The sequence below is a fragment of the Homo sapiens genome, chromosome 20, assembly GCF_000001405.40.
Source record: "Homo sapiens chromosome 20, GRCh38.p14 Primary Assembly".
Classification (NCBI taxonomy): Eukaryota; Metazoa; Chordata; class Mammalia; order Primates; family Hominidae; genus Homo; species Homo sapiens.
In genome coordinates, this window is record NC_000020.11 from 61,679,247 (window position 1) to 61,707,172 (window position 27,926).

General features: G+C 53.1%; 1 protein-coding gene across 5 annotated transcripts in view, besides 2 other annotated features; it reads left to right on the plus strand.

The window, feature by feature from the left end:
- The window catches only part of CDH4 (cadherin 4), a 688,357-nt gene that overhangs the window by 426,986 nt on the left and 233,445 nt on the right, over positions 1–27,926 (plus strand). The window lies entirely within an intron of this gene.
- Positions 9,131–9,630: an enhancer, noted in NCBI's record as "H3K4me1 hESC enhancer chr20:60263433-60263932 (GRCh37/hg19 assembly coordinates)". NCBI's record gives its function as "activates a minimal SCP1, AML or CMV promoter by ChIP-STARR-seq in primed H9 embryonic stem cells {active_cell/tissue: H9 hESC(primed)}" and the evidence as "EXISTENCE:reporter gene assay evidence [ECO:0000049][PMID:30033119]".
- Positions 20,377–20,877: an enhancer, noted in NCBI's record as "H3K4me1 hESC enhancer chr20:60274679-60275179 (GRCh37/hg19 assembly coordinates)". NCBI's record gives its function as "activates a minimal SCP1, AML or CMV promoter by ChIP-STARR-seq in primed H9 embryonic stem cells {active_cell/tissue: H9 hESC(primed)}" and the evidence as "EXISTENCE:reporter gene assay evidence [ECO:0000049][PMID:30033119]".

Consider the following 27,926-nt stretch of genomic DNA (forward strand, 5'->3'; position numbering starts at 1 on the left):
GTGTCCTCGTCTCTCTTACTCTATTTTCCAGCTTTTTTGCAGCATAGTATAGAACAGAGGTTCTAAATTTGAGTGCTTGTCAGGGCCCCTGGAGGGCTTTTGTCAAAACACAAGTTGCTGGGCCAGGCCTGGAGGTGAGGGGTGGGTCCCAGGTATTTGCACTTTCATCAAGTTCCTGGGGATCTCGCTGCTGTGGCCCAGCACCCCACGTTGAGGACCACTGGTCCAAGAAAACACAGAAGGCTCCTCTAGATTCCGAAAGAATGGCACTCCAGTTCCAGCTCCACCAACGCCAGTGCACACCCAGGAAGCCACTAGCTGCTGGGGATGTCAGGGTCCTCTCCTGACATCTGAGGTTAACAGCAGCACCCATCAAGATCTGCGGGGCAGGTGAGCAGCTGCGTGGGGAGCAGGGGCCTCCCCATCATCTTCCGCCACTGGTGGTGCTGTGAGCACGCCAAGGCCCAGGAGGGAGCCTGTGGCCCCTGTGTGTAGCTCCCGACTTAGGAAGGACGTTCTGGTTTCAGCAGCCCGCTGGCCTGCAGCAGAAACCTGGACCACATGCTAATTCCACCTGGAGCAGACCCCGGAGCTTTGCTTTAGCTCTCAGGGCCCCCATCTGGGTGGACTTCCAAGGCTCTTCACCAGGTTCTCATGAGAGAGCCATTTTGTCTGTCAGTGGGAACTGCCCAGGGCCTCGGGTAGCCTGAGAGTCCCCAAGAGGAGACCCTCGTACCCGAGTGAAGCTTGCAGCCCCCAGGAAGCTGAGGAGCCTGTCCACAGCCTGGGGCACCCGGCGGAGAGGAAAGGGGAAGCAGGAAGCCATGGAGGACCCTGCCCCAGGGCTGCACCCTGCATCCTGAAGCGAGGAACAGACGCCATCTTTAAGCACCCCAGGACCCAGCACCACCTCCCCAGGACCAGGGGCTCCACCATAGCCCAGTCACCACCCCCTGCCCCTGTCCTCCACAGGAGCCCTGCAGCCCTGGCTCTGTGTCAGGATCCAGACCATAAGGAGGGACAGGGTGCCAGGCTGGGACTAAGACGGGGAAGAAGCTGCTGTGGGACCCGCACTAGGGCTGAGGGGCGCTGGGCTGGGCAAGGCCCAAATGGCCTGATGGAGGTGGCTCCTGCCTCCGTGACCTTGCCCCAAGGTCCCTGGCCAGGGCCTCCATTCAGGGTGAAATGTGATGGGAGGCTGTGGGGAGAGTGAGAAACAAGACGGTCACTCAGGGCCACTGTGACAGAACAGTCAAGGGGACAATGCATGATGGGCAGGGGCTCTAAAAATGGGAAGGAAGGGCAGAAATGAGGAGTGGGGGAAGGGCGGGGAGAAACACAAAGAGCCGAGCATCCCCCGAGGATAGAAGGGCGCCCTGGTGTCCTTTCTAAAGAAATGGTTCCCTGTGGATTTTCAGAGCTTCGGTAGTCATGGTTCAGCAAGTTCGATGCTTTCCTGGCTGTTTCTGGGATCGTGGTAGTTGGAGCGTTGACTCTGTAGAGAATTCCGTCTCCCCGGGATGCAGGACCTCGGACAGCCTCAGCCAGTGCCCTGGAACCTCAGCTCTGTCCTGAGTTCCCCCCTGTGTCTTCTTCTCATCCAGCGTCCTTCAGAGGGACTGGATGGAAGCCAGGGGTGGCCGCCTGTCTCCAGGATGCACCATTTCTTCCCTAGAGACACAGCAGGTGGCTCAGAGGCTAGCTCTCTGGGCAGTGAGGGCAGAGTTAGAATTCCTATTTGTTCCCTCCCTTTCCACCCATTTCTTTGGGAAGACAAATAGGTGACATTCCAGAAAGAAACATGTAGCTTCTCTAACATAATCCCTCTGTGCCGTGCAATTATTAACACATCGCTTGAGGGCATTGTGGATGTGGGCCCTCCAGAATTCAAGAAAATGTCTCTGCAAGGGTAAAACACCCGCCCTCACGTCCTAATGGCTTTTTTTCTCTTTCAGCCACACACAGTCAAATTTGAGGCATAATTTGCTGTGAATTACCTACAAATTGTATACAGTGCTTTAGGACTAAGTAGCTTTTTGCAAGGCTTGGTATGAATTTTCTCTTTTGTCCAAATCATACAAAATACTCTTTCTAAATTGTTAAGATTTTCTGCCACGCATAAAAATGAGGCTGAAATCACCCAAAAGGTGACAAAAATGGATTAGACAATCCTTGGAACTTTATAACTGTGTGCGTATTTCAAGGGATCTGTTGGCTTCTGAGCTCTTGTTCTGAGGGGTGGGAGAATTAGACAATCCTTGGAACTTGATAACTGTGTGCATTTTAAGGAATCTGTTAGCTCCCGAACTCTTGTTCCAAGGGGTAGGAGAAAAAGGGGGCATCATCTAGCAGCTGGGAGGAGTCTCAGGATCCCCCTGCAGGAAGCCCGGAATCCCTTCCACAGGCACAGAGCTGAGGGTGCTGCAGAGCCCCTAAAGAGCTTTCTGGGCATCGGGAAAGTCCGGGCTCAGTGCATGTGGAGCTGCCACCCTAGAAAGCCCTGCGTCGGTGTTGCTGTGTTCTCAGGCCCGTGCAGCTGACATTCCTTTGGCTTCCTGGTGATGGAGGGACAGACAGAGCATCCCCACATTTGTCTTTGAGGGTGTGTGGTGTATACGGGAGCAAGCAGGTTCAGCAGAAAATGACGTGATGCCAAGGCCAGGGCTGTGAACTTGCAGGAGCTGCCTGTGACCCCAGGGCAATCTGGGTTGTCATTGCAGAAGGAAGCCCAGTGGGTTTCAGCTGCTAGTGGAGAACCTATGGCTTCAGTGCTAGCAGTTGCTGTATCCTGCTAAGCGTCTGCCTCCATTCTGGGTCCTGGCTTCTGGGCCAGTCCCTGCCTTTATGACACTACCTTCATGGGGTGTGGGAAGGTGGACCAAGGAATGGGTGGATAGAGGGTAGATGGATGGACAGGTGGATGGGTAGATGATGGATGGAGGGATGGATGGACAAGTGGACAGATGGATAGAGAAATGGATGGATGGATGGTTGGACAAGTGGACGGATGGATAGAGGAACAGATGGATGGATGGACAGGTGGATGAATGGACAAAGGGACAGATGGAAGGAGAGAGGGAGGGAGGGAGGAAGGGAGAGATAGATGAATGGATGGATGGATGGATGGTGGATGGATGATGGATGGATAGATGGATGGACAGAGGGACAGATGGAAGGATGGATGGATGGAGGGGTGGGAGAAGGGGAGGGAGGGAGGGATGGATGGATGGACAGATGGATGGATGGATGGACGGAGAGATGGACACACAGGTGGATGGATGGATGAATACATGGATAGGTGGAGGGATGGATGGACAGAGGAAGGGAGAGATGAAGGGACAGAGGGAGAGATGGGTGGAAAAGTGGAAGGGAGGAGAGGAGAGAACAGGGCATTAAAACTCATTAATGATAAAGCAATTACTGGAGGAAGCATGGATTTTACCTCCCCATGCCAGGAATGATTTTACCTCCCCACGCCAGGAATGTCTGATGTTTCTGGCTTAGTGAAGAGGAAGCTTGGGAAGTCCAAGGTGATTCTAATCTGTGGAATGTTGTATTACTCTCACATTTGTAGGTTTATGGCATTTGTTATGGAAACGTTCTTATTGTGGGGCAATCTACCCGTAAGCAAATCCCCTGAAGGTAGAGATCAGCTGCTCACCCATCTAGTATTTCCTTTTATTTGTGAAAATGCATTCAGTGAGAAAATGTATAAGAACCAATTGTGAATGGTTCTCTTTCAGCTAGTTCTCAAAAAATCCTGTATCTTTTTATAAAGATGGAAATGACAGCCCAGAGTCTATTAAAATAAATATAAAGTCACCATGCCGGGGCCTGGCAATGGGACTGGCTGCTTATGGCTTTGATTCAACATTTTCTCCCTGGAATGTGTTTATGGGAGTTTATAGGCTGTGTGTGAATGTGCAGAGTACGGAGAAGTGCACGCAGCTGTACTCTCCACGTCTGTGCAGTATAGGGCAGACGATAAGTCTTGAGATCCATATGTTTCTTATAAAATTCTGATCTTTGGAAGGATGAGTAATAGGCATTAAGATGGCAGAGAAAGAAACGATCACAAGAGGAAATCATGCACTTCAGAGGCAGTTTCTGCTTCACAAAGAAAGTCTCCAGCAAAATCTACTGTACCCTGCAGTGAACGGCACGGGTTGCTTTCCTTGGAGCTGTCACGGTGTATCTGGTGTCCCCCGAACCGCGAGTCGTGGAGGCCCGTGGGCAGGTGCCCCGGGAGTGCGGCCCAGGCAGATGGTACCAGAACGGGGTGCCGTGCTAGAAGAGCACCCCAAACTGCACGCATCTGCTTCCTCAGATCCCGCAGATGGGCCAGGTGTTCAGAACCTTGTTGGTAGCTTGTCAGTCACCCACAGAGTGAGATGCATACTTTGTTGATAGAATGAGATTTAATGTTCAGGTCAAATATGAAAATGTGTTTGCTTGGAGGGGCATGATCTTTCTGTAGAAGACTCTTCCTGTCATACAGTTACCACTCACTGTCCTCTTCCTTCAAGCCAGGCTCTGTGCTAAGTAAACGATCCTGATTAAAACCCTGTTTTCATTGTCTGTTCTTGTACAAGCCTGTGCCTGCCTGCCGTGGGGTGAGGTGCACCGCCTAGCTGGCACTTCACAGTAGAGAGCAGCCAGAGGGATGGGTGGGAGTTGGGAGGCTGGGCTCTTCCTGGCGGTGGGTGAGACTGTAGCCCCATCACAACCACATCATCCCCTTCCCAGGAGCTCCTCGTGTCTGGGGAGGTGGGCGTGGCAGGGACTACAGCCAGAGCTGGGTCTGTTTGGTGCTTCTTCCCTGTGTGTGGATTCATTTAACAGGGTTGGCTGATACCTACTGTGTAGCAGGGATTGCAGTGGCATCGGACAAAGCCTCTGCCCTCTGGATGCCAAACATTCTAGAAACCCCCAAAGGAATAAATGCAGCCGTTGCTGCTGGTGAAGGAGGCCGTCGGAGTGCTGTGAATGAGGGGGACTGGCCGGCCTGGGAAGTGGCCTGGGAGGTGCTCAGAGGGTGGCAAAGGGGCGACCATGCGACTGAGCCCTGTGGGAAGAGCAGGGGGGCCGCCCAGCTAAGGAAGCAGCAAGCGCGGAGCACGTGGCCTCAACCTCCGTCTTGCTTATGCTGGTTAAGTAGGTCTGATGTTAACCAAGCCAAAATGCAGGGGCAGGGACATCTCAGGACCTTTTATACAAAATAGCCTTGAGCCTGGGCAGAATTCGGAGGCAACCATCTCCTGGCCGCCTGTTCCATATCACACACAAGGTCCAGCCCCCTGTGTTGTTCTGCAGCTGGGAATCCTGGGCTCCGTCCTGGGGGCTGAAAGGCTCCTGGGGGTTCAGTCTCTAACCTGCTCTTTAAAATTTTAGGGCTTTCTTGGGTAGTTTCATTTTATCTCAAAGTCTTACAAACCATCTTAGCGTTTTTGTGCAAACAGCTCCCAATCCTCGCCAGCACCTGGGACCTGCCACACCCACCCAGCACAGCAGCCTCCCTCAATCTGCAGCCCACAGCCGCCTGCCGTGACCACCCCTCGATGTGGGTGAGGTTTCTAAACTGCTCCTGAAGCTTCAAACACACAATTCATCTGTAAATATTTGCTCACTCTATTTCTAACCACGTTATTAAGATATAAAAACTTACCGTGAAATTCCCCTGTTTAAAGTGTACAATTCAATGGTCCTTAGTCAATTCAGAGTTCCATGTATAGTGTAGAGTTGAGTATATGTTACAGAGAGCAACTGTTGCTGTCATCTAATTGTGCAACTTACTCATCACCCAGCAGGGAAACCCCGTACCCATAAGACAGCCACTCCCATTCCCTGCCCCATCCCAACAGCCACAAATACACCTTCTGTCTTTCCGTCTCTAGATGTGTCTAGTCTGGGTATTTGCTACAGGTGGGATTGTCTTTGGGGTGGACTTCTTTCACTTAGCACAGTGTTTTTAAGGGTCTCCCATGCGGTTTGGGTCTGTTCCTGGGAATATATTGTGTTGCCTCACTCTCCATGCGCTGCTACTGGCTTCAAAGCCGCCTCCACTCAATTCATGTCTCAAAGCAACTTGGTCTCTCCACCACCCTTTGTGTGAAGCGGGGTGACTGCCCCTCCCCACAGGCTCATGACAGGGGTTGAGCAAGTGCTCTGTGTACCAAGCCATTCTTGCTGTACCTGCCTCATAATAAAAGCTTGGGCCCCTTCATCTCCCCTGCGGAGAGTGCCTGCTCTCATCAGTCCCGTCTCTCCCCTCTGGATTGCAAAGGCCGCTCCTCGGCCCCACCACCCCGCTGTTTGTGGCGCTTTCTGTCAGTGTCCTGATTCGGTCCTAGTGACCACCACCTTATCCCAGCCTGGTCACTCAGCCTCTGTGTCTCGGGCTTTGACTACGTCACCCACACCCCTTTGCACAGAGTGAGACTGTCCTCAGACCCCTTCCCGCTGTCCGGACTCAGAGCATCCGAGGCACCTGCCCTGGGAGAGCTCCTGGACTCCAGTCCTCACGGGGCTACCCCTCGTCCCATGTGCACCCTCAGCCCCCTGCAGAAACCTGGAACACACTTGATTCAAAACCTTCACATTAATCTCAGGTGGGATAGTCCGGGCTGTGGGATCCCCACTGGGTGGTACCCGCACACCATTTAGCATTCCAGATGGCGGAGTTCTGGAAGGGAAAGCTCTTCTTTCCAAACCCCTCTCCTGCCTTTCATCAGAGAAAATTGTGCAGTTCTTGAAGATCTCAATAAATACTGAAGGCAAAAATAATGTCAATGTTAGCACCATCAGAGGTGATGGGATTTTTTTTTCTTCCAGTGAAAATAGACCAGCGGCATCTGTACCGATGATTTTATAGACTTTTCTGCCAAGAGAATGAGGATCTTGCCAGCTTTTCCTAAAAGAATCAGAAGTTTCACGAAACTCCTAGAGTTCTACAAACTGTTTGCTAATCTGATGACAGTTGGTTTCCTTGCAGAGCTCTCTGCTAAGCACTAGCCAGTCTCCACATCTGCGTGGCTGGGAGGCCTGCCTGTGAGTGCCAGTAATGGAAAGACTGGAGAGAACAAGCCCAACTGTGCGTGTATATGTGTGTATGTGCGTGTGCATTCGCATGTGTGTATATGTGTGTGTGCATTCACGTGTGTATGTGCCTGTACATTTGCGTGTGTATGTGCGTGTGCGTGTGCATTCGTGTGTGTGCATTTGCGTGTATATGTGCGTGTGTGTGCATTCGCGTGTGTGTATATGTGTGTGCATTCGTGTGTGCATTTGTGTATGTGTGCATTCGCGTGTATGTGCATGTGCATTCGCGTGTGTGCATTCATGTGTGTGCATGAGCACGTGTGTGCATGTGTGTATCTGAGTGCACATTCTCGTGTGCATTCGCGTGTGTGCATTCGCGTGTATGTGCGTGTGCATTTGTGTGTGCATGTGTGTATGTGCGTGTGCATTCCCGTGTGTGTGCCTTCGTGCGTGTGTGTGCATATGTGTATATGTGCGTGTGCATTCGCGCGTGTGTGTGTGCATGTGTGCATGTCCACTTGCATGCATGTGTGGTCATGTGTGCAGGGTTTGTTAGGTTTTGTGCTAGGGATTGTGCATGTACAGGACGGAGAGTGATTAACTTGCTATCAGATCCTCTCGAGTCAGGTTAAAGCTTCCCCTCCAAACCAACCCCCGCCCCCCGACCCAGCAACTCTGCTCCCCCGACTAGCAAGGTGTTTTTTCATCGTGATCATCACCCCTGTGTTCAGCTTGGGCGGTGCCCTTGCTGGAAGTCTCTGCTCCGAAGATTTCCAAGGACGGTGGCAGGTGATTGATTAGGCGACCTCCCCGCACGCCCTGGCCAGTCCCTCAGACTTCACTGGCAACACTGAAGTGCGTGTTCGGTGTCCACTGAAGCAACCACACCCTTTCCAGAAAGCTGCAGAGGTGCCCTCCTCTCCCGCTCCACAGCCTATTGTCCCGTTTTTATTTCTGACACCAGACATCATCCACTGGACTGAGCTGGACAGTGTCTGCTCTTCCCCTTTCCCTGTTGGGATAACTTGTTCAGGGGAGTTTCTTACACAACCTCGTCTCCCTTGTCAGTGACCGTCTGTACTCGGAGGCAGCGCTGTGCCGGGAGGAATGAAGGTGTGTGAAATGGACCCAAAATGTGGATGGGCGCCCCCGGGGACCCACAGACACTGCCTCCTCAGCCACAGCCTGGGCGGGACTTGCTGACTCAGGCAGGAGTTTAATCAGTAACTTTATTTTAATTCCATAAAACGACCCAAGAGTTAATTTAGGAGTAGTTTTAAGCACAAAGAGGAAATTTATCTAAAAATAGATTTGACAAAATGTAAAACAGGCTAGGGTTTCCTCTCTGCTAAACAAATGCGTGTAAGTTTTTTAAATTCCCAAGTAAATGATTCGGAAATTCCTTCTGCCTTAAGTCTGATCAAAGGGAAGTCTTGACAGATTGCATTTATCACAGGGAGCACCACCTGATGAAGCAAAAATTTATTTTAAAAAACCAGAAATGTGGTCCGCGGACTACAATTACAATGTGTCTAGGGCATAGAAAATATTTCCACTAAAAGGACTTAGCCTACCTTAGACCACAGGGGAGCCTGGGGGCTTTTGGGTTTGGGTTTTTTAGTATTCAGGTCCTTTCTCAGCAGGAAATGAAGTCACATTCCTTAAGCACAAGCATTAACCTTGTACTAACTTAGATATTATTATGACTTCATAATAAGTCGTAAGTGCAGGAGTCTCGGGTACAGATGAGCAACCCTAGGCTGGAGGAAGCTGGCCCAGTGGGGTGGACAGGATCACAGGACCCCGCCGACAGCCCAGGTCTCCCCTACAGCAGCCTCTGAGCTTCTGCAGGGCCTCCCCTAAGCTGGGCTCATAGGGGTCAATGTTAGGGGTGACGTCGTGACCAGAAACACCCTTCTTCCACGGGTTTGTCTTTCCACCACCATTAAATTGAGCAATACCATGCAAATAGCTGCCAGATCAAGGGAATTTCTCCAGCTGGGGTCTTTGTCTTTCTCCCTCCTCCCACCTTCCTCCTCCCTCCTCTCTCCCCATTGTGTCCTCCTCCCACCGACACCCACCACCCAGTGCCTCAAGGAACTTCCTTCTGAATGATGGTTTATTAAGCACTTCTGGAATAGCTGTCAATCTGATAATGATAAGAACAGCAGCAAACACATTCAGGGTCTTCACGTGCCCTGCCCTGACAGCAGCACTAACTCTTGGTCCCCTGGACCGCACTCTGGGCAGGACACCTGCTTCTCGGCCGCCTTCCGGAAGCACTGGGACACAGGCTGGAGTCCTCCAGGGACTCGCAGCATCTCTGCAGCTCCGGAGCCTTCACAGAGCCCAGGCTCCCTGACTCGGGCCCACGCTATAACCATGTGCATGCCGCCTCTCCCGCTCAGAGAGCTTCCGCCAGTGCCCCCAACTTAGAGTCGTTCCTCAATCTGAGAGCTGTTAAGGAATCAATTCATCTTTTAAATTATATTTTTGATTGTTTTTTCTGATAACACAAGTAACATAATGCAGAAAAATTTCACACACAGGAGTGTGCAACCCAGCAGGGGAAACGTCCCTGTCATCTCAGCTGCTTAGAGAGAGGCACCGCTAGTTAGGTGGTCCTCCTTCAAGATCTTCTCCTTTGTAGAAAGTGAAAAACACACATGTATCCTGTATTTTATTCTTTCAAACCGAAAGCCCCACTGGACCTGCCTTCGCAGCTCCCTCCTCGCCTTCCCTGTGTGTCTTGGGAGGATACCATGTTCCACTTTGGATGAATTTCTCCTATCTGTGGGTAGCTGTGACTGACTCACACCAGCCCTATTGCCACTGGACACTGGTGACAAGTCTAAGTAACGCAGTTGGGCAGGGACATTGTTTGGTGAGGTGATGTGGAATCAGGCTGGGACAGTGGTTGGTGAGGTGATGTGGAATCGGGCTGGGACAGTGGTTGGTGAGGTGATGTGGAATTGGGCTGGGACAGTGGTTGGTGAGGTGATGTGGATTCCGGAGGGGACAGTGGTTGGTGAAGTGATGTGGAATCAGGCTGGGACAGTGGTTGGTGAGGTGATGTGGAATCGGGCTGGGACAGTGGTTGGTGAGGTGATGTGGAATTGGGCTGGGACAGTGGTTGGTGAGGTGATGTGGATTCCGGCGGGGACAGTGGTTGGTGAAGTGATGTGGAATCAGGCTGGGACAGTGGTTGGTGAGGTGATGTGGAATCGGGCTGGGACAGTGGTTGGTGAGGTGATGTGGAATTGGGCTGGGACAGTGGTTGGTGAGGTGATGTGGATTCCGGCGGGGACAGTGGTTGGTGAAGTGATGTGGAATCAGGCTGGGACAGTGGTTGGTGAGGTGATGTGGAATTGGCCTGGGACATTGTTTGGTGAAGTGATGTGGAATCAGGCTGGGACAGTGATTGGTGAGGTGATGTGGAATAGGGCTGGGACACTGGTTGGTGAGGTGATGTGGAATTGGGCTGGGACATTGTTTGGTGAGGTGATGTGGAATAGGGCTGGGACAGTGGTTGGTGAGGTGATGTGGAATTGAGCTGGGACGGTGGTTGGTGAGGTGATGTGGTATAAGGCTGGGACAGTGGTTGGTGAGGTGATGTGGAATTGAGCTGGGACGGTGGTTGGTGAGGTGATGTGGAATCAGGCTGGGACACTGGTTGGTGAGGTGATGTGGAATCAGGCTGGGACGGTGGCTGGTGAGGTGATGTGGATTCGGGTGGGGACACTGGTTGGTGAGGTGATGTGGTCATCCGGCAGGGACGGTGAGTTGGTGAGGTGATGTGGATTCTGACAGGGACAGTGGTTTCTGAGGTGATGTGGATTCGGGTGGGGACACTGGTTGGTGAGGTGATGTGGTCATCCAGTGGGGACAGTGGTTGGTGAGGTGATGTGGAATTGGGCTGGGATAATGTTTGGGTGAGCTGATGTGTAATTGGGCGGGGACAGTGGTTAGGTGAGATGGTGTGGTCATCAGGCTGGGACCCTCTGCTGTGACTGAGACCCGTGTGTATTGTCACTCCCGGGAGGCTTCCCGGAGGTGGTGACATTGTGTGTGATCAGCATGTGTTAGTAAGTTTGGTGCATTCAAAGACCAACTCTGAGTCCATTGCCTCAGCCCCAGGGTAGCCCAGGTGATGCCAGGAGGGAGGGGCTACAGGGTTTGCAGTTCTGGGTTGGAAAGGCCGAGGCCAAGGAAGGAGTGTGGACCCAATCGGCTGCCCACTTAGTGTCCCCGCCCAAGCATTCACTGTCTTTACTGAAGAGCCTCCTGGAGCAGGTCTGCTGCATGTCTCTGTTCCTGTTCGGAGTGCTCTGAGCGTTGGACCTGAGCTTTGGAGGACGGGGGGAGTTTCTCCAGGTGGACCTGGCAGAATGAGAGGAGGGCGGGGACAACTCAAAGACCACCCCCCACCCACCGACCAGGGAGAGTGTCCACCTCTCCTCACAATGGACTTGCTGCGAGTCCTCATTGGGGAGTTTGGTGATGGCATAGCCTTCCTGAAGGAGACAAGGGAAAGTGGCCTTAGGTTTTCCAGAGTCTGTGAGGTTTCAGGGAAAAGCCAGGTCCAAGCAGAGGCATTTCTGGAGCTGCCGGGAGGGGCATGTCCTGAGAGGGGCACACTTGGGGGCCACAGCCTTGCAGACCCCCCGCCCCAGGGCTGAGCCCTCTAGACTTTCCAGAGGCCCAGCCCTTCCTGGGTCGAGATGAACTCACAGAATGATTTTAGCATTTGGTACCTTTTCCTTTTCCTTCTGAGAGTGATGCCACCTCTCACAGCTCCCGGAAGTGCATGGCCACCGAGTCCCTCCCCACCCCTCGGCCAGCAGGGACATGATTTACCGCTAGATTTGGTCTCCAGAAGCCCCTTCACACTGACTCTGCCCTGAGACTTCCAAATACTGGGTTGTGACCAATCCCAGGACTCGGGGAAGCAAGAGCAGTAAGAATTCAGTGTGTGTGTGCAAGTGTGTGTATGTGCGTGTGCATATGTGTGTGTATGTATTTGTGTGGATGTGTGTGTGCAAGTGGATGTGTGTATGTGTGTGTATTTTTGTGTGTGCATGTGCATATGTGTGTGTATTTGTGTGGATGTGTGTGTGCAAGTGGATGTGTGGATGTGTGTGTGCGTGTGCATGTGTGTCTGTGTGTATGTGTGTGCATGTGTAGTGTGTGTGCATACGTTATAGATGTAGATATTAGGGACATATATGTACAGTCACACTTCACTTAATGACAGGGACATACTCTGAGAAATGCGTCAGCAGCTGATTTCATCACCGTACAAACATCAGAGTGAACTGATGCAAACCTACATGGTCCAGCCTTCTGCACCCCTCGGCTTCATGGTAGAGCCTGTTGCTCCAGGCGGCAAACCTGTCCATCCTGTGACTGGACTGGGTACTGCAGACAGCAGTAACAATGGTATTTATGGAGCTAAACAAATCTAAACACAGAAAAGGGACAGTAAAAATACAGCATTCTGATCCCACGGGCCCACCACCGTGTCTATGGTCTGTCACTGGTGGAGACGTCCTTACGCAGCACATGACTGTGTATCGCACACCTGTCTATGTGTGTATGTGTATATATGCATGTATGTTTGAGTCCTTAAAATAAACTAGCACCCATGACAGCCTACTGAGCACTTTTGTGTATTATCGGAATCTGCAAAGAAATAAACCCTTGCTGTTTTTGCCAAGGACGTAAAATTCTTCACCTTGTCTTAGAGCAAGGAAATTTCCAGACATTAGGTAAAACCAGGTCCAATGAGGGGTAAAGATGTGTGTGTGTATGTGTGTGTCTGTGTGTATGCATGTGTGTGTCTGTGTGTGTCTGTATGTATGTGTGTATGTATGTGTGTCTGCATGTATGTGTTTATATGTGTCTGTATATGTTTGTGTGTATGTCTATGTATGTATGTGTGTATGTGTGTGTATGTATGTGTGTGTATGTGTGTGTCTGTATGTGTGTCTTTGTGTGTGTGTGTGTGTCTGTGTGTGTGTGTATGTAACTTGTTTTTATATTTGTTTTCATCACCTATGTGCTCAACTTGAATCAAGGAATTTATCAGAGGAATATTTATTATTTCCAAAGGCATCAAGGTATTTTATTTTTGTTCTGGTTAACATCTTCTTAAAGAGATCTGTTTGAAATAGATAGACTGACATAAGACTAATCTCCCTTTAGGCTTAAAAGAGAAAGGATGAGAAAAAGTCCTGGCCTCTTAAATCACGTGAATTTGCTTTTACTGTGGGCACATTTTGTGCCACGTTTCCTAATAAGCATTTATTAATTGGACCAGGAAATTTTCTCAGATCTGTGTCCGTGCGAGCAAATCCCCAGGCACGGAAGTGTGATGGGGCAGGGGCAAGTTTATAACAACTTTATACCATTGCAAAAGCACATCTGTGTGCCATATGACTCCATTTGCGGCTACTCATACACATTTCTGCAGCAATTGATCAGAAACATTGATTTAGATTCTATTTTAATACTCTGTTTTCTACTAGCAAGCAAGCTTTTTTGTTTTTTGTTTTTTGTTTTTTTTTTTGCAAATGCTAGATAGGACCTCAGAAATGCCCGTGTGGATATTGGTCAAAAGTTAGCACATTTTCCTGAAAGCCTTGAAGCTAGTTGTGTGAGGAGGTTTATGAAAGGAGAATTTTTTTCCAGTTATCCAATTAAAATGATCCATGAGCTCAGCCAGCCCCGGGATGGAGAGGAGGGAGAATGCCAGCTGGGTCTCGAATGGCTATTTTGGGATCTACGGGGACTCTGTTAACTGATCACCGGCTCACCTGGTCACAGCTCAGCCTGGTGACAATCAGAGAGGCCAGTCACTTTCAAGGCACACCACAGTATATCAGATGCTTCCCTGTGATGAAGGCGGGTACGAGCAGTCACTCCAGGCCTGTCCCTGATGCTTTCCTGTGATGAAGGCCAGTGCAGGGGGCCACGTCGGGCCTGTTCCTGGGCTGTGCTGCCTCCTGGTCTCCTTTCACAGGCAGATTCTGTGGACTGCCTGCTCTGCTCCAATGCTGTGCTGGAAATGTGGGGGAGGCCTGGGGAGTGTGTAAGGGGAGCGGCTTTAGCTTGACTTCTGATGAAACTGCATAGGATCTTTGAGCAAAGGTAATTCTGTGGGTGGGGCAGCGAGCAGATGACCACGTGTGGGCTTGAGTCCCCAAGGCCGAAGGCACTGGTCATGCTTGGCCTCTGCCACTCAGCACCTGCTCCACAGTGCCTGCTGCCCAGCCCACCTGCCTCCTCTGCCCTGCGTCCGCTCCACTGCAGCCTTTTAGAGCGTGGATCACTCTCTAGAATTGTGTTTATTTATTTCCTTGGAATTTTCAGCCTTCCTGAGCTACAGCGTTAGAGGGCAAAGGCCTGGTCTCATCCACCTGGGCATCCCCAGCACCTAGAGCCCAACAACAGGCAGAAGTGGAGCATGCATGGAATCGAACAATCATGCCCCCCATAATTGTATGAGGCAGGACTTGGTGCTATTTATCAGAAACGAATTGTCACTCACAGCTCCAAGTCACCTTCCTACTGAAAACGCTTCTCAGACACTCTTTCTTTCTTTTTTTTTTTTTTTTTTTTTTTTTTGAGACAGAGTCTTGCTCTGTTGCCCAGGCTGGAGTGCAGTGGTGCAAACTTGGCTCAGTGCAACCTCCACCTCCCAGGTTCAAGCGAGTCTCCTGCCTCAGCCTCCCGAGTAGGTGGGATTACAGGTGCCCGCCATGACACCCAGCTAATTTCTTGTATTTTTAGTGGAGACAGGGTTTTGCCATGTTGGCCAGGTTGGTCTTGAACTCCTGACCTCAGGAGATCCACTCTCCTCAGCTATGATCACAGGTGTGAGCCACCATGCCCAGACCCAGACACTCATAAAGGCACCGTTTCCTAAACGTGCAGGGTGTCGGGAAGAGGCGCAGGTAGAGTGGGAAGGAGGAAGCCACACTGACTTGCCTGGCATTCTTTATGGACCAGGCACTGCTGTTTCTACTCCCTCCTTTACGGAGGAGCTACAGGCACTGGTTCTGCATCAACACTGCTGGACTGTGCCCCTTCCCAGGCTTGAGGCGGAGGAGAAAATCACTTCGCAGGGTGGTCAAGGTGCAGCTTTCAAGATGACCCTTTGACTGAGGGAAATGAGGAGGTAAACATATCTTTAAATCATCCTTGCCAGATAAAATGTGAATTTGGATTTCAAACTGGAAAAGAGAATGCTTTCTCGGATGGAGGCTGTGCACCTTGGGGATGCCAGGGCTCACCCAAGATAATGAGCACACTTGGAGGAAGGCTGAACTGGGGTTCTGGGATAGAAGTAAAAACTCCTAAAAACAGGCACCTCCAGGAGGAGGGGCTGCCAGCCCCACAGTTGGACACAGGGGTGTGAGGGTACCTTAGATTTCCAGTCTCCTGCGTGCTTTAGAGATGAGAAGCCACTCCTGTCTCCTGGCACCGTGAAGAGGAGATTAGCAGGCGGTTTTCTCCTCTGCACGGGAGCCACCTTCACAAGCCTGCTCTGCCGAGCGCTGGCGATACGCGGCAGATAGTGCTGACAGAAGCCGAAGTGAAATGTCATAGCTTCAGATCCCGTGCGCCGCCGGAGAGCTGGAATGAGGCCTGTTGTGCCTTCAGAGACTAACAGCTAAATCCTTCATTCTTTCAGCTCCCAGCATATGGCATGAAGTAGGGAGTGAAAGATAGATTTCTTTGGATAGGTGCAGAAAATATGTGCAACGTTTTCACTGCCTGGCTGCATAGAAGGATCAAAACAGCCATGTTTTCTGAGAGCAGAATTTGAATGCTTTGAAGCCGTGCCTCCAGATTGGTAATGTTGATTCAGAATTAATACCTACTTAGAGTAATTAGCAACTTATGCAGTAGGCACAGAGGTCACCGAACAAGGAGAGGATTAACTGAAGACACATACCCTGCCTCTGCCGGAGGTTACAGGCCAGTTGCCCGCAGAGGCGTCCTGCCCGGGAGGCATGAACCAGCTTCATTTCATTCTTCTTGCTGGCCCTGCTGCTGTGGGTATCAGATGTATTCCACGGGGCCCTGCAAACTCACACCATCAGACCCGAACGAGGGTCTGAACTGTCCTGGAGCTCAGGTTGCTCAGGAGAAACTGAGTACAGTCTAGGGGTGCCCAGCAAGCCCCTTTCCATGGTGCCTCTCATCCTTGAGCCTGAGATCACCACAGAGAGGGCATGTCTCGCTCTGGGTCTAGCCACAGAGGAATCCGAGGTCTGCCATCAGCTCGGGACCTTGTGAGGTTCCACATGGCGGTGCTTTTGTGCTGGGGACAACAGGAGAGAGCAGTGAACCCCTGGATCCTCCAGCACGTCCCACAGGGGAGGTCAAAAATGCAGGGAGGCAGTCACAGTGTCTGAGAGAGGAGCTTCGACTTGGAAAATGGTGAGCCCTGGCATCTCATCTAGCTGGGGACGCTCGGTTCCCTCGGAATTTGCACCAACCTCCTTCGTCCAATCCTTCCCCTCTCTGCAGTTGGACTGCTGAGCTGGGCTTTGCCCCAGTGACTTGGCCGCCACACTGAGCTACACAGCAGGAAAGGATGCAGCTCCTCCTGTGGGGTCTCCAGGCCCGGCCTCACCCACCCGCTGCCAGGCCTCAGGCACCCGACCAGCCCCCTCCATGAGGCTCCTCTTCCATGAGGCCCCTCCTCCTCCAGGCCCTGGTTCTGCCAGCTGGGCTGCACCTCCTAGCCTACAGGTCTGTCCCACCTGCGTTTCCTGAGCCCCTCTTGCAAGCCTCACATCCATGTCAGCACAGAGACAGATCTAAAGAGGAAGGGGCCATGTCTGTGCCAGGCTGGATTGTGGGCCCCTCCCACACATGCCTTGGTCTACCAACCAGGTATGCTTGAAGGAAGCAGAAGGAAAGAATGAGAACCGCCCCCCACAAACCAACAAGGCCGACTCGGGCACAGAAGGAAGCTCCGAGGCCTTTACAGGGCTGAGCCAGGGGCAGGGCCTGGGGCCCAGATGTCCAGTACCTCAGGGACTCTTTCTCCTGGGCGCAGGAGGAACTGGGAGGCAGGTGCAGCACCCCTGGTGAGACTTGGGCTGAGGATGCTAGAGAGGGGCGGGAATGGATGTGAAAGTGTGGTCAAGACTAGCACTGGCTGAGCGCCAGCTGTGTACTGAGCACCAGCTGTGTACTGAGCGCCAGCTGTGTACAGCAGAGCTCACTCCTCCACAACATGGTCCTTAAGACGGGACCGGGGCTGAGATCCCAGCAGGCCAGTGCCTGGGTCAGGGAGGGCAGGAGCTGAGGCTTGAGGGGGTACTCTGGCCCAAGTCCACCCTCTGACCCACTACCCTCCATGGTCCATGGGGCTGCCCTGGCCCAGGGCTCTAGAACATACTACCAGGGAGGTGGCAGAGGAGAGTGGGCTGAATGGAGGCCCCCAAAACATACATCCATGTCCTCACCCCCAGAACCCATGAATAGGACATTACTTGGAAAAAGAGTGTTTGAAGATGTGATGGAATTAAGAATCGCAAGATGAGATCATCCTGGGTGATCTAGGCGCACCCTAAATCCAATGGCAGGGGTCCTTACGAGAGACGCACAGAATGCAGTTGGGGAAAAGAGAGTAAGGCCGCAAGAAGACAGAGGCCGAGACTGGACTAATGCAGCCACAAGTAAGGAATGTCCGGAGCTCCCAGGGGCTGGAAGAGGCTGGAAGGGCCCTCCCCTAGAGCCTTCGGAGGGAGCATGGCCCTGCACACACCTTGATCTCAGACTTCTGAAATCAAGAATGTGTTGCAGCAGCCCCGGGAAGCTAACATAGGAGGCCCCAATTGCAAACATTCGGATGTGCGGATGAAGGATCCTAGGGGTTCCTGGGGCCTGAGAATGAGGACGAAAGATGGAAAGGATGGAAGATGCTGATGAGAAGCCCAGTTCATAGGGCCCACACCCAGGCGAGTCTGGATCCTTAGGAAAAGAACATCAGATGGCACAGAAATAAGACAGAAGGCCGGGCACAGTGGCTCACGCCTGTAATACCAGCACTTTGGGAGGCTGAGGCGGGTGGATCACAAGGTCAAGAGTTCAAGACTAGCCTGGCCAACATGGTAAAACCCCGTCTCTACTAAGAATACAAAAATTAGCTGAGCGTGGTGGTGGACACTTGTAATGCCAGCTACTCGGGAGGCTGAGGAAGGAGAATCGCTTGAACCCAGGAGGCGGAGGTTGCAGTGAGCCGAGATCACGCCACTGCACTCCAGCCTGGGCGACAGAGCAAGACTCCATCTCGGGGCGGGGGGAACAAAAAAAAGGAAATCCCTAACCCTGCTCTCATCACAGCTCCCTGTGTTCCAGAACCCAGCAGGGTTCCCGACTGCAAACCACTGAAATCTAAACTCATGGGCCCTCCCTGGAGGTGTATCTCCCCGGAGGGACGTCTCCCCAGAGGGGTGTCCATCTCCGGATCCCCCAGGGCTGTCTCCTCTGTCCGAGAAGTGCTGCTCCTGCTCCAGGCTGGAAGGTCCTCACCTGTCCACCTGCCCAGGAGACGCTTCTACCCATTCCCACACCCGGGTCTCTCAACCCTCCCATCTGTTTCTTCTCTTTTGCGGAGTAAGTGCCTCCCTGCAGAGCCAGGGCTGGGCAGCAGAAGTCAGAGATGGAGCCAGGAGAAGAGGGTTCTGGCCTGGCCGGCCATTCCTTGGCTGTTTTGCTCAGGCTCATCACTGAGCTGGCACCATCTTGGGCCTGTCTCACACTGCCACACTGCCCGAGACAGCAGCCATTAGCCGCACGTTGCTGGACAGCACAGACCTGGCACGTGTCGTCCACCCTCGGAGGGGTCCCCTTGCACGGGCTCCACTCCGGACGGTCCCTGAGACTCTCCCGCCCTCACGCCTGCTCTCTAAGCCAAGCACAAAGCCAAGTGCAGCCCCCACTGACCATTCCAGCCCATGCCGGCGTCTGCCCCAGGCCCCAGATCCGTCCTGCTGGTGCGATTGAGGGCACAGAGTCGAGCCTTCAAGTAGGTCTTCTAATATGGCTCCATTCATGCAGAAACCTCCCAGTGGGGCTGTGCCAGGCACTTGGAAAGTGGGAGCCGCAGCCCTGCCGTCCGGGTGCTTCCCATTCAGGGGAAGCAAGTCAGAAACCAAGGCAAGGAGCTCATTCCCGGGGCTGGTGACTGCAGGTGCCCGCAGAGGGCACGGGGGACGTGCCCTTGGTCAGGCGGTCAGCAGCAAAGGCCTCTCCCAGGAAGGCACCTGAGCTGGGACTGGTGGGCTTGCAATTGTGTCCTGGAGTGGGTCTAGGAGAATACGCTAGAGCCTGTCTCCAGCCTTGGTGCTGCCGACATGTGGGGCCAGAGTCTCAGCTGTGGGGCGTGCACTGTGGGGTGCTCAGCAGATCCCTGGTCCCCACCCAGTAGACCCCCCCGCAGTGTGACAACCAAGGAGATCTCCAGACATTGAGAACCTCTGGGGGTCACTGCTGGAAGGAAGGAACCCGAGCTTGGATGTGCTTAGCCTTTTGTGTCCGCCTGATGTCGGGCTGCCTTGGGGCATGGGGCTGAGAGTTCGGAGTGTGTTAAACCAGTAACTGACTGAGGGCAGCTTGATAAGCTACTCACTTCGCATATGCAAGGATATCCCCACCTTTGGTGGTTGCATCCCGTTACAGATTCACCCACTTTATGCTACACAAGAATGGCCGCTGGCAGGTCCCCACAGTGGCTGGTCATGTGGAACGTGTTTACAGTGTCTTTATCTGGAGAAAGATGACTTTTCTGTTCTCATTACAGCCTCGGCCATGGACATGATTTGTTAGAACCTTACTATGAAGTGTGTGGTGGCGCACAGGCGCTCTGACCTTCTCCGTATCCCTGCATTTAATTAGCTGGTCATCCTGTCCTTCGGTAAAGGTCACGGTGGCTGTAAATGCATTTGGGGGGATGCTGGCCAGCATGCGGCCTGGCTGATGAGGGGGCAGAGAGGCAGGGTCTGTGGTGCTCACACCTCGAACGCCCCCAGTCATCACAAGCCCCCCCAGTGCAGGGCGGGCACTGGGGCTCCCTGGGCTAGTGACAGGGCCACGGTTGCCAGGTCAGCGGGCACAGCCAGCTGCCCCTCTCCACAGCTCTGCCCAGGAGCACTGTTCACCGTGGGTAAGCAACCCCAAGTGGCTAATTAGGATATGTGGCAGCAGCACTTTCTGGCTCTCCGAGTTGTTGTCCACTCGAGAAAGTGTTATTTTCAACAGATTGCTTCTCACACAGCTTCCTGCCAAGTCATGTCCCCAGGCTGGATGACATCACCCCACTCAACCTTTCTCGAGCCTGTGTAGTTGTTTCGTGGAGGTCACTGTGTCGTTAGCGTCAAAAGGAAAACAGAGCTGAAGACAAATTAGAGGGGAAGAAAGAGTCTGAGCGGGAGCAGGCCTGCTGCTGGGGGCTTTCACCGCGGACCCGGGGCTTTCACCGCTGACCCGGGGCTTTCACCGCTGACCCGGGGCACACACATGTCGTGACCAGCCTGTAAGAACATCTTCACTTCCAAGGGCTCAGCTGCATGGGCTGGCAATGGCTGAGTGAGTACAAACCAAACAGTGAGGCCAGGGGTTTCCACTGTTGGGGGGCCCCATGTCAAGCCCAGGAAGTGTCAAAATGTGAGCAGGTGGCTGCTGAGGAACGAGGCTCACAGCGCCGGAGCTGCAGGTATCCGTGCAGGCGTGCACTCGGAACACCCCACCCCCGGGGACAAGGAAGGGGGCCTCTGGTCAGAGGATGTGGTGGCTTCCCTTCTCCTGGTGCCTCAAAGGTCCCAGAGGGTGGAATGCGCCATGTCCTGTCCCCTTCACTCCAGCCGTGAGCTCTGCCTGCTCTTGCCTTCAAAGACTGATTCACAGTGAGGGAGGCCCAGTTCTGCCCACAGACATACATTCCCTAGATCTGCACGTCAGGGGAGCGCTCAGCATCGACAGGGAAGACAGTTTTTTCACTGTCAGCCGTTCTGACTGGCCGGGTAGGAAATATGCCTGCGTGGCTGGTCACGTCTCCTGCATCTGGGATATATTCTTGGTCTGTCCTTGGGCTTATATTAGACTCTTGGGGTCAGGCCTTCCTTGAAAAACGTGTGGATCAGAAACTTGGTCTTTCTTTACTCCAGCGCATGACAGAAGTTCCTTGGTAGCACGTCAGCCCAGAGGGCAGGAACCCAGAGAGGTCTCAGGGTTGTCACCCCAGCAAGGGACCCGCTGTGTCATCAGCCTCCGTGCATGCCTGGTCAGTGAAAGAATGTCACCCCGTACGGCCTCACTGTGGGGCCACACATCACCCCATACAGCCTCACTGTGGGGCCACACGTCACCCCATACGGCCTCCCTGTGGGGCCACACATCACCCTATACGGCCTCACTGTGGGGCCATGTCTGTCTTCATGGGTGTCTTCTTCATGTCTTCTTCATGTCTGTCTTCATGGCCCAGGCCTGGGGCAGAGCCGGGGTTGCCGGCTCAGCGGGTGAGTGCCACATGAGTCTTGCCTTCAAAGCTGGAGTGCCTGATCTTGACAGCGGACCGACATCTTCAAGGGAACGGCGGCTCCCCCCTTTTTTGCAGAACACTTTCAAAGGTGTATTCGTGTTCCAGGGCCGCCATAACAGAGCGCCACAGAGGGGCGGTGTAAACAGCAGAGGTGTATGCTCTCGCTGCTCTGGAGGATGGAAGCTTAAAGCCGAGGCATCGGCAGGGGTGGTTTGACGAAAGCCGTCAGAGAGCTCGGAGGGAAGACTCTGTTCCAGGCCTCTCTCCTCGGCTTGCAGGTGCCATCTTCTTCCCGCATCTCTTCACATCGCCTTCCCTCTGGGAGTGTGTCTGTGCCCAAGTCTCCAGTTTTCTAAGAACAGCAGACATACAGGATTGGGACCCACCTTACTCCAATATGACCTCATCGCAACTAATTTCATGTGCCATGACCCCATTTCCAAACAAAGTCACATTATGAGATGCTGGGGTGGAATTTCAATGTATGAATTGCAGGGGACAGAATTGAACCCATAACAAGCGAGTGAATGGATGTCAGGGTCGTGGCTGTGAGATTCCCCACGGGTGAGTGAGTTCCATGCATCCAGGGCTGGTGGACATCTGGGCTTGTCCACATAGGTGGGTTTGGAGGTTTGGGTGCAGCTGGCAGTGCCATGGCCTCCAAGCGATCAGGACATGCCCATCCTCACTGGGTGGGGACCAGCCCTGTGGGCTTCGGGTCCTCATGGGAGTGGCGTGTGCCATGGGGTGCCTTCCAGCCAGCACAGCGGGTCTACGGATCAGTTGGGGGTGGATTGCAAACCAAAGCAAGAGCAAGAAGGAACGGACTCACCAGGCAGGCCTCCAGCGCTGGTAGCTTAGGAGCTGCAGTTCCTGGAACCTCGGTTCGGCTCACGCGGGGATCTCCCCTTCTCAGGGTTGACCTTGTTCTTAATGATTCGGACAAAGCGTCCATTGGCAAAACATTTCCAGATTTGGGATATCCAGGTGAGCCCAGAATGGAGTTTTCTTCAGTCCAAAAAAGACTGCTTTCGAGTGGGACAAGTTTGACCTTATCACAGAAGCATGGGTGTGACTCAGGCCGAAGAGAAGTTCACTCAGCTGCGTGAAGCCTCGTCCTCCTCCTTCGTCAGCTGATTAGCTGGCAGCCGGGAGGAAGAGCCTAGACCTCACGGAGGTCTTGATAAAGCCCCTCTTCACCGAAGTGCAGTCAAGTCTGCAAGACAGAAATTGGACAATGGGAAGAAAGCGTCTTCTTCACTGCCATTTCCCGGTCCCTTCAGCTCTGTTGAGTGGTTCTCATGCTGAGAGTTGGCCGAGAAGCAATAAAACACGGTCCTCTGCCACTTTCTCCATAAAGCCCAGCTGGCCGCCTCATAGGACCATTTCTGACAAACTGGGTTTTGCTGAGAACCACACAAAGACGGCAAAATAAGACTGGCTTGTAATTGCCCATTTCTCGATCCTTGTGGAATCGGGGGCCCAGGATGGGACCGAACAAAGGTGTGTGCAGAGTTAGACGAGGCAGGAGCCACGTAATGGGTCCCTCTGTCCTCCAGGAACGCTCCACACAAAACATTGCTCTGTAAAAAGACGACAAGGGCCACCCTCCCAAACGCAGCCCAAGTCACTAGCCTAGGTGCAGACGCTTCGCACTGTGTGTTGTTACGGTCCTTGCAGGCATTCTGGTGATGCAATTCATTCTTCTGAAGCGTATGAAAGCTGAGTGCGACCTTGAGCCAGAGCCGTCAAAGTTGAAGCAAGGTAAAGCGGTTGCTTGTAATTACACACTTTTTAATTTATCTGTGTATGCATCTTAAAATCACAAAAACTTTGTTTGTACTTGAGCTGCAGATTCAAAAGTGCTTAGTAAATCCAATTACAGGCAATGTCACCTGTAGAAAAAGCACAGGGCATTTCTGTCTAGTTTATCGTGTTATTTTTTTCCAAAGTACTTTGAAGGATTTTGCAATTAATCTGCTGTTCCATTTGATTGAAATTTAGAGTTCTTGATCTACATCTGTCACCTTCCTGCAAAGCAAATCAGGCCTGGTGTGTGACAACCCGCTTTTTACGTGTGGGAGGTCTTGCCAGGCGTGTGCTCAGCTGGCAGAGGCTGTGTGCGTGCGGCCCTGAGGGTGTGAAGACTTCCTCAACAAGCCTTTCTTCATCTCACTCTGCGTGCCGTGGTCAGTGCCATGTTTTCGGGTAGAGCAATGAACATAAAGGATGTCATCCCTCTTGGCTGAATTTACACTCTGGTGGGGCAGGGGGCCACGGGATGTTAGAAATGCGGCAGAGACCAAGCTGTGATCAGAAGTGGGGGCTCTTGGACGAGCTCAGAACACACAGGCCTTGGGTTGTTTGTCTTTTCCTGACTTCTATGTGCAGTGGATTTCCTGCTTTGTGGCAGAGGCTGCTCTGAGCACAGAGACCTGAGCATCATGAGGCATTCATCCTAGTTTAAGGAGACGGGCAGTACACACCACGAGTGTCATGGAGAAAATAGGCCTGGCAGGATGGACACAGTTGATACTCGAGCGTGAATGGAGACACTGGCAGCAGGGGCATTTCATAAGGAGGGGACAGTGTGGCTGGGATATGGGCGGCCTTGCATTTGCAGAGTATTTAACCTAATATTGAAAAGACATCATTTGTCCCCACCAACAAATTAGTGGGGAAGGAAGGAGTGAGGTCAGGTGTGGGGATCAAAGCTCCTCGTCCCCAGCTTGTGTCCCTTCCCCGTCGCACCTCTTCCCCGTGCCTGGATGAATCTGCAAAGAGAGCGGGGATCTGATGTGTGCAGCCATCTCATTGGCCATACAAGAGCTGTCCATGTCTCATCTGGGCCCTGGTGATGAGGTGGCTCCACTCGGGGCAGGGTTGAGGCTTTCTGTGTCTGCATCAGACCCTGTGCACTATTCAGCCTCCCTCCCCTGACTGTGTCCTTTTCATTTTAATTTTAAGCACATGGGATTTAAACAATATTTACTCAGAGCTGCTTTACCTTGTATTTTCATTTGGAAATATTAATTGTGACCTTTCAGAACTCCCAATTAAATTTTTCCAATAAAATGAAAAGGTTGAGCTGGAGCAGAGGCAGGGGTGTGGTTGGGATGAGGGTGGCAGAGTCACAGCCGCTGGGAGTGGCCGGGCAGGTGGCTGTGCCCTGTGGGTCCCTGGCTCGAGCCAGGCCTCGAGCGCTCTTGGCTGAGCCTGGAAGAAGCAGCAGAATTCCCCGTCTTGGGGTCGGGCACCAGTGGCTGAAACGCATTTCCATGGGGGTCAGGACAGTCCTCGGCATCTCCAGCACCTGAAGTTGCAGTGTTTGAGAAGTGCAGACGGGACAGGATCCCTGGTTCTCTCTGTGTTGTCTCAAGGTGCTGCGAGGAAGGCATCAGCTCACAGGAAACCCAGCTCCTTCCCAAGCAGAAGTAGTGGCAGCACTGCCTCCCCACTCTGACATTCTCAGAATGGGCTTTTGCAGTGGAGAACCAATGCAGGTGCTGATCCAGGTCACTCGGGAGGAAGGAGGCCCCAGGTCAGGCAGCCTTGTGGGGCGCTCTCGTTAAAGCTGGAACCTGCTCTGGGTGCTGTGCCACCTTTCAGCCCAAGTCAAGTTTTCTGGAGGCCTGGCTGGCGCCGCCTTCTGAGAGAGGAGAGCGGCTGGCCCTGAAGCCCCCAGAGCCAGGTTGCTTGGCAGGGGTGGTGGGATCCGGTGGCCACAGCGTGCAGTAGGAGTTGGGGTGTCGTCTCAGTGGGTAGAGTCACTCTCACCCCTGGTGTCCACAGAGCTTTTGAGTTTTCAAGATAAGCCAAACATCTGGGCTTTTTTAAAATATGGAATTTGCCAATATCTAATCTCTACGGTGTCAGCCGGGATGTCTGAGTCTTGGCATGGTCATCATCATGGGCATTAAATGGGGTGGCGCCGCTCTGGGCACCACAGGCATTTAGCAGCATCTCTGGCATCCACTCAGGAGATGCCAGTAGCACCACCCCCAGCTGTGACTACAGGAATGTCTCCAGATACTGCCAAGTGTCTCCTAGGGCCAAATGCACCCAGATTCCAGAACCAGGGATATAGAGTATGGGCTGTCATTTTGTGAATTCTCTAATAGTCCAACCAAAGGACCCGGGTGTGAGCTAATGGCCAGCTGGACCCAGGAACGCGTTGGGGCTCAAAGGTCCCCTGAGCACACAGTCCTTCTGCACCCAGCCAGCTGCTGCTTCCCATCCGCTTTGTCTCGTTGGCATGTCCCTCTTTAGGACACAGGGGCCTTGTGCCTAGACCTAGCAGACTTCCTGCAAACCCCACTCACTCACAAACTTCAGGGAATATTTGTTCTCACCTTGGTGGAGGCATCCGCACCTGAGCTAACTCAAGACCCCAGGTGGGGCTGTTTTACGAATCCCATGAAATGAACAGAATGTCACCCTGCTGCCTGTCCCGGCCAGGCCCCTTCCACCTGGCGGGGGAGATGGTGTACAACAGCCGATCTGGGGGACCAGACCCCGGGGGTTCCACACCGCAGAGGGAGCACGTTCAGCCCTTCATCTCTGGCTTCTGCGTTTGGTTTATGTGCTCAAATATTGCTCACTGGGTCTAACCCCTCAGTGTGGGAGAGCCGTAGGTGCCCCAGTGGCCATCTTCACAGTGTCTTTCAATCTCAGAGTCCTCGGCCCATGGCCATTCATGCAAGCAGCAGCTGGTCCGTTCCTGCCACTTCCAAGGACGCTCTGTCAGGAGAGCCACCCTCATGGGACTTCCTCTGGCCCTTGTAGTTCTGGGTGGGAGCGTGTAGAAAAGGGGGACTCATTGCAGCTTGGCCTGGAGGCCCCCTCACCCAAGCTGCATATCCCTGGAAGCTGGCAGCTGGCTTCCTCTCACGACAGCTTTGAGTGTGAGCCCAGTGATGTTTTAAATGTGGTGGATGCCTGCAGAATCGCCGACAGGCTCCATTTGCAAGGGGCTGGCCGGGCTCTTCTGCACACATTTGTGTCAACAGTGAAAAATTACATCACTAGCAGACAAATCAAATACCCCAGTTGTGTCAAGATTTCCCAGATGTGATGTGCTGAGCTCGGAGCCCCTTGTAAATTCCACGCCGCTTCCTTCTCTTAAAGGCGCCTGTGGATTTCTCCCCCACGGGTGCTGGCTTGGACTGGACTTGGGATCTGAAAGCCCTGTTCTTCCCTTCCAGACAGAGAGCAAGCCGTCCCACCCCATTGTGCCCAGTGGCTTTAGCCCATGAAACTGGGTGAGGCTGGCTGAGGAACAGCCGGCCCGACGCCTGCCCGGCGCCTGCTCGGCAACTGTTCTCTGTAAAACTTTTCCAGCTGCGTTGCTCCCAGCTTTCCCGTGAGGCCCAGGACCCTGTCTCAGAGGGTCTGGGCAGCTTTCCCCTAAGCGACTTGGGCACAGCAGGCTTTGGGGCTGTGTGTTTACTAAAGGGGGCTTCAGAGGGCCGGGGGGGATGAGAGACCGGATACCCCACCCAGGACTCCAACCACCACCCGAGGCACCGACAACTGACAGAAAACTGCAGCCGGCCTCATTTGCCGCAGACCCCCTTCTCTCAACAATAACATGTGGGGCACGGTCTTAACAAACATGATGAGAGAAAAGGCTGTAGCCAAAGGCAGCTGTTCAGGAACGGAGAAAGTTTAGCTACGACGAAGACTCCGGGGAGGAAGAACGGATGGAAAGGCCAGCCCAAATGGAAGTTGGAGTTTGCTGAGCTGAGGACAGGGCCTGTGGGATCTGCTGGAAGAGAGGCGAACCAAGACCAAAGGGATCGGTTTCTCCCGAGCTGCACACAGTGGCACCGACTCCCTGATCCCCGATGTGTAGAAACCACCTTGGCTGAATTCTCCCGAGCCCGCTGCAGGCCAGTGGGAACAGTGGTTGGGAATCTCACCGGAACTGGCTCGGGCAGGACGTTCATGGTGAGGTTCCAACCGGAATGAGTCATGTGACCGTCAGCATCCGACCTCCACATTAGCCGCATGACCCTCTGTGATGCCCAGACCAGCTGAGATGCAATCCCCGCAGAGGGCTGAAGAGAGGCGTCTGTGGCACGTGGTGGGGGCCCTGGTCTTTAGAAGCTCCTGGATTCTGATTGCCTTCAGCTGGGCTTTCAGGTGGGTCTGCCTGCAAGCAATCTCAAAGGCAACACTGTTCTGGAAGCTTCCGTGGCGGTACTCTCTCTCCATCTTCCCTGGGATAAAACAGGAAGCTGAGGCCAGTCCCTTACACAGGCATGAGCTGTCATCCATGTCTGGACAGAGTGCCGGGGTCCCCATGAGCGCATGGCGGGGATGCCAG